We start from the raw sequence: 14,069 nt of genomic DNA, 5'->3' as shown, positions 1-14,069 counted from the left end.
ATGTTGAACAGTTTTTCATATGTTTGTTGGCTGCTTGTATGTTGTCTTTTGAGAAATGTCTGTTTCTATTCTTTGCCCACTTTAAAAATACACTTTTTATTGGAATGGTTTTAGATTTACAGAAGAGTTACAAAGATGCCAGAGAGTGTCCTTACACTCCACATTGTTCCCCCCATAGCTAACATTGAATGTGTCTATCAGTTCCTGCAAACTAAAACACTCACAGTGGTACATTTGTCAAAATGAAGAAACTGGCATTGGTACCGTACTGTTAACTAAATTTCAGACTTAACTAGTTTTCCTGTTAATGTTGTCTTTCCATTCCAGGAAACAATCCAGAGTGCCATATTGCGTTAAGTCATCATGCCTTTCTAGTCTCCTTTGATCTGTGACAGTTGCTCAGTCTTTCCTTGTTTTTTATGACCTTGACAGTCTTAAGGAGTACACACTGGGTACCCTGTAGGATGTCCTCATCTCCCCAAGTGATTTTGACACCACACTCGACTTTTGCCTCTTGAGGACAAGGCCACATCTGCATTGTCACCACTACATACCACACATTCCGCGCATGCCTGGCCCAGAACAGGACCTCAGTGAACACGTGCTGGGATAAACGTGATTCCTGTCTTGCTAAACTGAGTGGCCCTGCAGCAGGAGCCAGGCCTGGTGCATCCCTGCATTCCACACTGCGCCTGCCTGACCTGTGCAAAGTCTGTGACAAGAACTCTCATCCTCCAATGGGGCTGAATGCGTTCGACTCAAGTAGGAATTACAGACAGAAATCATCACATAATTACAACAAGAACTCTAATTGCGATCATCTGACCACTTTTTGACATCTCTCTTTCCGTTCTTTCATAGATGTGTTGCCCAGTCAGATAAAATGAAACAAAGACAAAGGAGGCTGCTGGTGTTCTCACCAGAGCCGGGAAGACAGGCTCTTGCTCTGGGCGTGTTTATAAATTTAAAAATATTTCAGATGCTTTTGCGATACTGCTTATTCTGGTTCAGTGCTCAGGGGGAATGCGTGAGGGGGGACGGCCTTCCATCTCATGGGACTGCAGGATTACGGGGGCACTTCACTCTGCCAGAGGGGAAACACGGCTGCACTGCGGAAAGGATTCGATTCAAACATTAACCGAAAACAGCAACAACAGAGTGTTTTTTGAGTATGGTCTAGTGGTTCTTTGTGCTGTATTAAGTACATTCCATACATGAATAGCTAATGCTGACACTATTCTAAAAAGCAGATAATTTTGGTTCTGCTTGAATAATGAATAGCAAACGATGAAAGGATAGCGGCTTGAGAGGCCACGGAGGATGCTCAAGAGGGATCACAAGGCTCAAGGTGACAAAGCTGGGGGTGGAACTTGCATTTCTATGCTGCTCAAGCCACCACTTTTTCCAGCACTCTTTAGAGACCTCAAAAGCTGCCTTTCTATGTATATAGGCATGCATGCATTTATCTCTCATTGATCATTTTTACTATTAAATAAACACTTTTTTATATTATAAATATTTTTGTTATTAAATATATTTCATATCTAGCATTATTTAGTGCAGGATTCCTCAAAGTGTGGTCCATGAGACAACTACATCGAAACTCCATGAGGAGCTTGTCAAAAATGTCAATTCCTAGACTCCAGATCTTCTGAAACAACTCTGGGGGTGGGGCCAGAGCTTTAAAAACAAGCTCTGTGGTTGATGCAAATTCTTACTGAACTTTGAGAACTTCTGCTGTAGGGAAGTATGCAGGACTTGGAATCAGAGGGCTTGTCTAGTGTCAGTTCTGGGATGTTCTAGCTGGTTAATCTTCAGCAAATCAAAGCCTCAGCTGTAAAATGGGTAGCTTCTCACTTCACATGGTTGCTGTTAGGATAACAAGAGAAAATACAGCGAGGAGCCTGCTATCCCTGAGAAATCGAGCATCTCACAGTTCTAAACTTATAGGAGAAAGAAGTCCATGTCAGAGTATCATGAGGCTGGGAATGGTGGCTGAGATGGAAGGACTGCTTGAGCCCCGGAGTTTGAGAGCAGCCCGGGCAACATAGTGAGACCCATCTCTACACAAAATAAAAAAAAAATAGCTAGGCAGACCCGTCTACACAAAACAAAAAAATTAGCTATGCATGGTAGTGCACGCCTGTAGTCCTAGCTACCTGGGAGGCTGAAGTGGGAGGATTGCTTGAACCCAGGACATCGAAGCTGCAGTGAGCCATAATCACGACACTGCACTGCAGCCTGGGCAACAGAGTGAGACCTTGTCTGATAAAGAATATCATAATACTGTCATGTTGCACTTTTCTCATCAGGTGACAGCAAGCTTTTGATGTGACTTTATACAACCACACATAGTACCATGGAATTGAAATATATCCTTGAGGCTTTTGTGCTAAGAAAAACAAAATTTAGATGAAAACGGAAAAGCTAGGAGGAGTGGTGATGGTTAACAGCATAGGATCTAAATCAGGGTTTCTCGGCCTCTGCACTATTGATATTCAGAGTCCAATAATTCTGTGTTATGGTGGGGGCTGTCCTGAGTATGGCAGGTTGTGTAGCAGCATCCCTGGCCTCCATCCACTAGATGACAGGGACACCTCCTTCCCAGTTGTGAAAACCAAAAATGTGTCTAGGCATTGCCAGATGTTCCCTGGTGGAAGAATTGGTCCTGGTTAAGAACTGCTGTTCTTAAGGAAGATGAATGGGTTCAGTTCCTGGCTCCACTACTGATTGTCAGTGTGAACTTGGGAAACATGTTTAACCCCCAAAGCCTTGGTTTTCTTAGCTATAAAATGGAGAAGGATAATATTCTAAGTCCCTACCCTACTGAGTTGTCATTAGGATCACGTGAGAAAGCACACCTCAAAAGTGTAGCAAAATTCTTGGCTCTCTGCTGTGTGTGTGTGTGTGCACGCACGCTTGCTCATGGGAGCAAGTGTGTGCGTGTCTGTATGTGTGTGTGGTTTAATAAATCTTGAAGATTTGTCAGACTTTAAAGCTTTGAAAAACACACTCCTCCTTTTCTTCCTTTTTGCAGAAAGGGTTATTCAAAATGTGACAATTCTTCAGGTCAGAAGTGAACTGAGAATGTTATTACTAAGTTGTGGACACTGAAATTGAGCTGAATCAGATATATTTTACCCTAGAACCAGCTAACTGTTGACACCTGATGTTCTATAGAACACAGCTACAGAAATTTAAATGAATTAAATTCAATCAGACTCTGAAAGAAAATCAAAATAGGCTGAGACTGGGTTTCAGCTCCCAAAGCATCTCTTATGGGGTGCTCGTGAAAGTCTCTCTACGGCAGCTTTAGTGACCCACCTGCGCAGACACCACTCATGTCTCAGCTTTTTTTCAGACTGCAGTGAAAATCATTCATTTCTTCTCAATGTGAACTTGCTGGTTGGACCCATAGTCAGGGTTGAGACTGAGGAGGTGTTTGGTTTAGTTCTCCCCTGGTCTGGCTGCTTGAACGCAATCTGTAGATGGCTGGTCTTTCAAGAGCATGGGAGGTTTTTAACATTTGGGACAAATTAACCAGTATGACAAAAGCAAAACAGTTCCCCTCTTAAGATGAAGTGTTCCTTAAGTGCCTATACGATTTCCAGCCCAGCCTGGATGTGTCTCCTCCCCTGTCTGCTCTGAAGGGGCACTGGAACCCAATGTGTGAACAGAATAATGAGACGTGGTGGTTCTCCTGTGGGCCGGGCTCTGCAGAGCTGAGTGACAAGTCGATGATAACAATCTCAGTGGAGCCTGAACTTGGCCTGAACCCGGCACTTTCCGCCTTCCTCGCCCTTACTTGGGATGACTTTGGTGTCCCCTTCTCCAGCCTCCGCACTACCAAGCATTTCAATACTTTCTCTTTTATTATTTCTCCTTCAACAATAACCATAATATATGACTTGATACTTTCCTGGCATAGGCCCAGTTTTCATGAATACTAATCATTCACCCAAATCCTTTCTTTCAGAATCTCTCTTCTTTGTTCAGGGAATGTTGCATCTTGCCTGCAGTGGGAATGAATGTTATAAGAAATCGGGTTGATGAATGCCTGCTTCCCTCAAACTTGAGTGCCTTCTCACAGTGGCAGGACTATCTGCCAGTCACCTACCCTTTGATTAAGTACTTCCAAACATGGGAAGCTCACTACCTTATAAGGTGATGTGTTCCGTTCCCTTGGGGGACAGCATCAACTGCTGTTCTCTGCTGTGGCAGCCCGGTGGTGTCCTTTCTAACAGGTATCAGCATCCGCAACTATTTATTAGTTCATTCGTTGATGATCTGGGCTCCCCCTCCCTGCAATAGTTGTAAGCTCCATGAAGACAGAGAACTTCTTGATGTGCTGTGCATTTGGATCTTCTGTTGTTCTCCTTGAATGTGAGCTGAACCAAAAGATGAATAAGTGAATGAAATAGTTTACTTTCTGAGCCAGATCTCCTGGTAGGCAGAATTTATGTCTATTTTACCCCCAGCATTTAGCGTGGGGGCTAAGACAGAGTTAATATTATGATGTGGTAGAAAGAACACAGAGATTTGAGGTCAGACCTGTGTTTAAAAATCCCACCTATTCCACTTGCAACGGCCTTACGTAATTAGTATTTCTGAGTTGTAATTGCTTTAATCTGTAAAATAAATGTAACTATAGCACAGTACCCAATTCACATGTTGTGAAGATTAAAAGATTTTTCTAAAGTACTTAGCAGTGCCTGGCACATAGTAGGTGATCAACAAATATGATTTCAATTGCATTGAGAAGACCAGATGATTCTTACTAGCGTGGCCAGAAAAGACAAGGGGTAGGGGTACGGTTCATCTGTCTGTCTCCTCCAAGCCTGCCTCTGTGTCTTTCCAGAGGTGAGCAAAATGAAATGACCTGTTAATTTGTTCTTGGAAGCCACTTTAGTGTATCAGGTGTCTCCAGAAGAGCATCCACAATGAGGTGGCATCGATACAGGAGACCCTTGTGCGTTGATCAATGGCCCCCATGTAGTTTGTAGCATAATTGATTTCAAATGTGCGTTTATTTTTCTTTCCCTCCAACTTGTGGCTGCCTGGATTTTTAAACTTTTTATTCCCCCAAATGTGCCTGGATGTTGGATATCATACAAATGCAACCTCTCTCTCCCCTCTCTCTCTCCCTTCCTCCCACCCTCTCCCTCTCTTCCTCCCGCTCGCTCCCTCTCAGATTTGTCTGTCACTATCCTAAATTAGGAACAAATCAAAATCAGTTTAAATCTCCCAACTTAATAAACACCAGATCCCCCAAATGTCAGAGAGTCTAGTCTTTTGCAAAGTCTTTAACTTGTGGCTCATACTTGAGACTAAGGAAAAAAGTGGTAAATGACATGAAATAAAGAGGGGGGTGTTATAGGAGCAGATGGGTTACTCACTAGGCCAAGAATGTGAGGACAAGTGGTTTGGGGCCAATCTCTACCACACGGCTGGACCATGTACAAGCCTTCTGGTCTCTGAGGACTCTGCCAGGGGTTTTGAGTTCTGATTAGGACAGCCTAGACTTCTGCGTTATCATGAGTGGTTAGCTGTGCAGCAACAGGAATTGTCTTCACTAAGATGTTTCTAAGTCATAACAGAATGTCAGCTTTTCAGGGCCCAAGAAAACCATCTATGTCTTCATTTTGCAAAAGTACTTAGCAATTTTGACCATGATTTGTATCATATCCAAATGATACTTCTTTTTTTTTGTACTTGGTTTTATTCATGGAAAGACCTTTTAAAGTATGAGGGTTAGAAGAAAGGATATTGGATTGGGAGTTGATTCTAGGTCTGGATTATCCATAAACTTATTATGGGTCTTAAATCACTTAGTGCTTCTGAACCTTCCTTTCTTCATCTGTGATCGGAGGAAGGCCTCAGGTGAGTTGCTTAAAATTGTGGTCTGTGCAACATTGGGAGGTTTCTAAATATGGGGGCTCTTTACCCTCAAGCTGCACCCCACCCAGATCTACTCCACCATGATCAGATGGTGAACAGATATCCACATCTAACCCCTGGCACCTGCTGAATATGAGACTTTATGTGGCAAAGGAGACTTTGCAAATGCAGCTAAGAATTTTGACATGGGGAGATAAGCCTAGGTTATCCAGGTGCTTTTGGTGTAATTGTTCCTTATAATAGAGAAGGAGAGTCAGGGTGAGAGAAGGAGACATGATTGAGGAAGCAGGGTGAAATATTTGAAAGTGGGAAAAAGGGTCATGAGCCCAGGAATACAAGTGACCTCTAGATGCTGGGAAAGGCAAGAAAACGAATTCTTCTCTAGAGACTCCAGAAGGAACGCAGACCTGCTGACACCTTGATTTTAGGACTTCTGACCTCCAAATAATACACTTGTGTTGTTGTCAGCCACTAAGTTTGTAGTATTTGTTACCATAGGAAGCAAGTATACTTGCCTGTATTTGATTTACAGATTGAGTTTGTTTGTATTTTTTTTTTAAGTAAGATTTCATCTGAGGAAGGATTTCAGTGGTAGAAAATGTTTGAGAACAGATCCCTAAGTTCATTTCAGTTTGAAATGACTGTGATCAGCCAGGCACAGTGGCTCATGCCTATAATCCCAGCACTTTGGGAGCTGAGGCAGATGGATCACCTGAGGTCAGGAGTTTGAGACCAGCCTGGCCAACAAGGTGAAACCCTGTCTCTACTAGAAATACAAAAAAAATTAGCCAGGCATGGTGGCAGGTCCTGTAATCTCAGCTACTCGGGTGGCTGAGGCAGGAGAATCACTTGAACCTGGGAGGCAGAGGTTGCAGTGAGCCGAGATTGCGCCACTGCATTCCAGCCTGGGCGACAAGAGTGAGACTCCGTCTCAACAACAAAAAAAGGAAATGACTGTGATCTTCTTAATATCAAAAGACAGCTCAGGGGACAAAGAATGTGAATGCTTGCAGCCTTCGTGGGGAATGGCACGACATTCTCCAATAGTCAAACCTGCTTTGTCACATCCTCCTCCATCACATCTAGCAAGCTCTCCATGAGACTGCAAGCTCCAGGGGAGCAGGGCCACTCTTTTTTGTTCACTATAGGCTGGTCCTATTGTAGATGCTCAGTAACTATTCTTGGAATAAGGATCAATAAATGAGTAAAGTGCCACTGGCTCTGGTAGAAATGAAAATGGTATGGCCACTGTGGAAGACAGTTTGGCAGATTCTAACAAAACTACACACTGTCTCACCATGCACTCCAGCTATCCAGCTCCTTGGTATTTACCTAACTGAGTTGAAAACGTACATGCACACAACCAATGTTTGTAATAGCTTTATTTGTAATTGCCCAAACTTGGAAGCAACCAAGAGGTCCTTCAGTAGATGAATGGATACGTAAGCTTTGGTACATCTAGACAATGGAATAATATTCAGCACTAAAAGGAAATCAGCTATCGAGCCATGAGAATATAAGTGAAAACCTTAAATACATATACTAAATGAAACAAACCAACTGGAAAAGGCCATATACTGTATGATTTCAACTATTCTGGAAAAACCAAAACCGTGGAGTTAGTAAAAATATTGCCGGGTGCGGTGGCTCACACCTGTAATCCCAGCACTTTGGGAGGCCAAGGCGGGTGTATCACGAGGTCAAGAGATCGAAACCATCCTGGCCAACATGGTGAAACTCTGTCTCTACTAAAAATACAGAAATTAGCCGGGCGTAGTGGCATGCACCTCTAGTCCCAGCTACTCGGGCGGCTGAGGCAGGAGAGTCACTTGAACCCAGGAGGCAGAGGTTGCAGTTAGCCGAGATTGCACCACTGCACTCCAGCCTGGTGACAGAGCAAGACTCCATCAAAAAAAAAAAAAAAAAAAAATCAGTGGATGCCAGGAGTTAGAGAGAAGGGATGACTAGGTGGAGCACAAAGGATTTTAAAGGCAGTAAAACTCTTCTGTATGATACTACAGTAGCAAATACATGGTATTGTCCATTTGTCCAAACACATAGACTACAACACCAAGAGGGAAACCTGATGTAAACTGTGGGCTTTGGGTGATCATGATGTGTCAGTGCAGACTCATCAATTGTAACTGATGTATCACTGTGGTAGGGGATGTTTATAGTGAGGAAGGTTGTGTGTGTGGGAATGTATATGGGAAATCTCTACTTCCTGTTCCATTTTGCTGTGAATCTGAAAGTGCTTTTAAAAAACGAAGCCTACAAAAATTTTTAAAGACCACCGGTCTATCTGCAATTTTTCTATGTAGGCTATGCTTTGCAAAGACTACCCTAAAAGGAAATTCTCTTCCCAATTCTCTTGCCTCTCTGAGCAACTCCTCCTCCCCTCCCCCAACTCTTCCTTCCTCCTTTTTTTTGTATTTTTAGTAAAGATGGGGTTTTGCCATTTTGCCTAGGCTGGTCTCGAACTCCTGACCTCAAGCAATCCACCCACCTCGGCCTCCCAAAGTGCCGGGATTATAGGCATGAGCCACTGAGCCCGGCCAACTCCTTCTTCTTATGAAGATTTTTCTGTCTTTCTCTCTTCTACCACCTCGCCTGTGCTGTGTGCTATATCTATTATCCCCAATACCCCCTGAACTAACCTCAACCCTGGCACTAATCCCTGCTGCCCTGTCATTGTCAACACTTATTCATGTGACCTATTGGGCTGTGAGTCCCTGGGGGGCTACGCATGGCCTGCATTTCTGCATTCCTAAGTTTTAACATGGTTCCTCTCTCACACACACCCCCGGCAGGGCTCAGCACATATTTATTGGCCAAATGATTGAGGTTTAAAGACCTGCAAGTATTTTGCAGTGTCTGGTCCAGCTTTGCCAAAACTTTCCTCTCTTTCTCTCCCAAATGTCCAATTCTCTTCTGTAATTATTTCCCTCACATTTCTTTCCTTATTCCAGTTGTATCTGTGTCAGATTGTCTTCTCTTCCAGTACTGAGGTGAAAAGTACTGAGTTCTGTTCTAAACCAAGACATTCTCCAACTTTCACGAGTCTTGAAAACATTAATATGGGTATTTCAAAAAGTATGTATGGTAAATGTGTTAGGCTTAGTATTTAAATTAATATTCACAGCTTTCCTCACTAGCACTGGGCTTTCTCAGTTTCCTTTTTATTTTTATGAATTGCATTTGCAACTGTAAGATTATCAAATTCTTCTTGAATATGGTATAAATACACGAATATATAATAAAGACATGCCAGTTCCCTCTTTGTAGTGAGTGATTAGGGGCAAACTGTGAGAATATAATGCCCTAGAATAATTCAAGAAGTTGGCAGATTCTGACAAAGGGGGAAACCCCACTTGTAAAGAGTCAGTGGGATATAAGACATAACTCTCTAAATGAGCAGGTGGGCCTGTCCCTGAGGGTGGGGGGCGCGGCTTCTTATCTCATAGCACCTCTTTCTTTTTTTAAAAAAATAATTTCAACTTTCATTTTCATTTCGGAGGGGGTACATGTGCAGGTTTGTTACATGGATATGTTGCGTGTTGCTGAGGTTTGGGGTACAAATGATCCCGTCACCCAGGTAGTGAACATAAGACCCAGTAGTTCGTTTTTCAGGCCTTGTCTCCCTCCCTGTCTCCCTCCATCCATCCCTCCATCCCTCCATCCCTCCATCCATCACTCTTTCTCTCTCCCCTTTCTTTTATTCCCGGTGGCTATTGTTCCCATCTTTATGTCCATGTGTACCCAATGTTTAGCTCCCACTTATAAGTGAGAACATGTAATATTTGGCTTTCTGTTTCTGTGTTAATTAGCTTAGGACAATGGCCTCGAGCTGCATCCGTGTTGCTGCAAAAGACATGACTTTGTTCGTTTTTATGGCTGCATAGTATTCCATGGTGTATGCGTACATACCACATTTTCTTTATTCAGTCCACTGTTGAAGGGCACCTGGGTTGATTTCATGTCTTTCCTACGTGAATTGATAGCACCTCTTTCATTCTTTCCCAGATGCTGAACTTCGCAGAAAAGGCAGATATTCGATCATTTCCAGTCTTTTCCCTTAGATGATACACAAATATCCTTTGAAGGTATGGCAGGAAATGATAACCAGTCGTAATACCTTAATGTGACACTTCATTCATTAGATCTCCTCCAGAAGATGAAGTCCAATGTATAGAGAGGATAAGTAAGGGTCTTGGAGAGAAGAATTGGGAAAAGAGTCTGCAAGGGATAGAAAAGATCAGAGGAGAATTTGAGGAAGCAAAGATTAGGAAACATTGATTTTCATTAATAGTATTTCATTCTAAGGTTCCAGGATGCTATTGACAAATTAAAACCTCCTATTCCTGTTGTTCAGAGGTATCACAGAATCTGAAATGTAGACTGCAATGAGGAATGAGTCTGGCACGTGCAAAATGGCTGGGATGGTCCTTCTCACATTGTGGTTTCCATACCACAGTGGTGTGGAACTATGGAAGGAATTGAGATGTGAAACTTGGAGCACCCCCAGAGGGTGGGGACACAAGTACTCTGGGTCCAGACAGTTCATTGCTGACACTTAGGGGAGAGAGCAGATGTGCAGGGTGTGACCCCAGAAGACAGAACGGGTCCAGTGGGAGTTAGTTAGAGGAAAGTGGATTCCAGGTCCTCATAAGGAATGGATTTTTGCTATGGGAGGATGATGGCTACCCATTACTGGGTGTCTCCAGGCAGAGGTAGAGGAAATGGCTATCTGAGTGGAAGTTAGAGTAGAGACCCTCTGACAGCCCTTCTAATTATAGGACCTCACAAAGGTGGCTCTGGGCAGAGTCCTGAGGACAGAACTCAAATTCATTTCCAGAAACTGTACTTCTCTGTGTCATGACAAAGCCTTAGCAAATATTAACTTGAACATATTTCTAGGCTAGGTAAAGCTTCATTTCATTTCTGGCTCCTCCAATGATCATGCAAGCGTCTTTGAGGAACTGCGGCCCAGGAAGATTAAACAACTTTCCTGTGTAAAACAGGGGAAAGAATGTTGTTGTCAGGTTAAATAAGAAAAAATGTATACCATGCTCGGCATATAGTAGACCCTCAAACAATGTTGGTTTTCTCACGTGCTTGACCTCAGAACACCAGTTGTGTGCATTGAGCATTTGTGTGACTGTCTCCTTAGTGAATCTTACTTGGGTCACAAACTAGAATGGGCTTCATCCTTTTAGTAAGGTTTCCTGGGCTGCAGGATTGGAGGTGGAAATGAGTGAATGAGTTGTCATCTCAACCCAGCACAACAGCCTTGAGCACGTAGCTCTTCGTTGCCTGCTGTTCTTCATTCGCGTGACAGTGCTAACGTAAGGTTGTTTGTCCCCCAAATATCTTCGCATTATCTTAATGTCGTTCTGCACATTACTAATTGCTATTACTCTAAAATATCAAGAAATCAGAAGGAACCTCTGGATAATGTTCTATTCTGGTGAGATTTATCTATCTTAACTCTATTTACCAGGTTAGAAAAATACACTTAAACATTTAAAATCTGTTTTCAACAGAACAAAGGGCTGAGAAATTTTTTTCTGGTAAATGTACTTGAATCCTTCTTCAGTTGAAAACTTTCATATCTACCTGTCTAGCTTTATATCTGTGTGCCCTTCTGTCTGTCTCTCTCTCTTGCCTTATTCCAGAAGTAACAAAAATTGATCATTTCTATTGCTTTTAGAAGTATGCTTTCTGTCTGGACTCAAGGGCATAGCACAGAAGCAGCTTTAAAATATCTTTAACCAAAGGCTAAGACAAATTTGTTGTCATATTTCCATCTAATTTCTTATAAAGATTAAATACTAATATTTTGGTTGGTTGGATTTTTTTTCATTACATAAACTTACACTGGACTTGAAAGCCCTTTTATAAAATGTTTCTTCCACTAGATATATAAATACTTTTAAAGTCTCAATATGCAAATATTAAAAATGAATATCATCTTTTATTTTCTAACTATTCCATCCAGGAAAATTTGAGGAGGTCCTTAACTTTGCTTCCTCCCCTGTCTTCAAATATTACTTTCCATGCTACAGTACTTGAAGATTTTTACCTTCTGTTTAGCAGTTTAAATTCAACTAACTATCTTAATATTTAGAGATTTGTTAGTAAATTATTTAAAAGAAACTGGGAAAAGGAAGCAGTGATCACTAACCATCACACAGAGTCAGTCATGTTTAATTAATTGTGCCTTTCTTCTTTCAAAATAGGGCTGAGAGAGAAAGAGAGAGAGAGAGAGAGAGAGAGAAATTCTGAGACTATAGTTATCTCTGGGTTTTAGAAAGGCATATGATAGTCATTGGGAAAATCAGAAAAATATGCCTTGATTATCATACATTGAGCCAAGGAGTTGATATCCAAAATGGGCCACAAGTAACTGGAGGTGTCTGATCAACAGGGAGAACACAAAAACACTCAGTTGGAGCAATGTAAGAGGGATTAGAGCATCTGATGGGATACTGGACCAGGTAGACCTGTAATCTTTCCTCCATTCCTAAGATCCTGTGAAAATAATCCAGGTACCAGAATTCTCAGACAGGACCAAAAAAAAAAAAAAAGGTAGTTGACCCTCACAACAACAGCTTCTTCAGTCTTTTAGAATTTTATTAGCTTAATTCTGGCCAGTTATTTTTTATAGCTTACATGAATCTAATTCAAAACACGCTGAGAAGCCAAATCTTTGCTGGGCTTGAGAATGTAACTAATAAAAAGGCAAATACACCAAGGTTGCCAAACACTGCAAAAGAGAAGTATATGACACCAGCTCTAATGTGAGAAATTGTAGAGCCTTATTTTTGTTCTCCTTTTGATAGGAAACATAAGGGTTTTTTCATGCTCTTGGAAAAGGGCCTTTGCAATACTTAGTATGACTTTAAAAATATCATTATTATCAAATGAGAAGAAACTTCACGTCGTGGCAATGAACTGGGTATAATCCAAGCACTGCCTTTTTTCTCTGGGGACCTCCATGCAAGGCGACGTCTCTCACATTTAATGTCCTTTGGCAGCCAGCAAAACCTCAAATCCTGTTGAAAGACCCAAACCTCACATCATGGTCCCCAAGGTGATGTTGAGATCATGCAGGTGGTCACAGAAGAGCAGACACGAGGGCCACTGTGGGCAGACCTCTTTCAAAGCTATGGAGTAAGAAACGTCCTCTTCACCTTCATTGTTCAGTGCCTCCTTAGAAAAAATCTGCCTCAGTCAATGTACACATGGACAAGTAAGCCAGTGTCCACTTCCCAGAAGAAGTTAGCAGATGTCTGACAGAGAATCCACCTCTCCACTCCGTTTGCGAAGTGATAGCTTTGCCAAGTGAGCAAGGGTTCCTCTAGTTTACCCACGTAAGTGAGATGCATTAAGCATATTCACAATAGAATTTTATGTTAAAAAATGTAGTTTCGCGGATTTAAATGCCCTTCACATAGCTGATATACAATAAATATATGTTGGATCCTGTTTCCTTGTTGAACTTTCTGGTATTTTGGAAATGATCCTGGGCCATCTGGAGAACTGCAAATAACTTTCTACTCTTCGTGGTGTAAAAAGGCAAATCTCCTTACCCTGGCCTCTGAGTCATCACCTCTCCAGATCATCCTTTAACCTCTTGTACCTGCCTTCCTCCTTCTACAGACAGGGCTTTCTCTACATGCCGCTCCTTCTACCTGGAATCCTCCTCTTTTTCTCTTCACCTGGTCAACTCTTTGCATCCTTCAGATATAAGCTCAATTATCAATTCTGCAGGAGTCTCTCCTCTCCTCCCTGTCAAATCCATACACTGCGCTCCAGGAATACCATGTTCCTCTCCCTTTTCTTTTTTTTTTTGAGACGGAGTCTCGCTCTGTCGCCCGGGCTGGAGTGCAGTGGTGAGATCTCTGCTCACTGCAAGCTCCGCCTCCCAGGTTCTCGCCGTTCTCCTGCCTCAGCCTCCTGAGTAGCTGGGACCACTGGCGCCTGCCACCACGCCCGGCTAATTTTTTGTATTTTTAGTCGAGATGGGGTTTCACTGTGTTAGCCAAGATGGTCTCCATCTCCTGACCTCGTGACCCACCCGTCTCGGCCTCCCAAAGTGCTGTGATTACAGTTGTGAGCCACCGCACCCGGCCATTCCTCTCCTTTTTAAGCACTTAGTGTTGTTCTAA

Source organism: Homo sapiens, chromosome 16 (assembly GCF_000001405.40).
Source record: "Homo sapiens chromosome 16, GRCh38.p14 Primary Assembly".
Lineage (NCBI taxonomy): Eukaryota > Metazoa > Chordata > Mammalia > Primates > Hominidae > Homo > Homo sapiens.
This window is presented reverse-complemented; position numbering follows the sequence as displayed.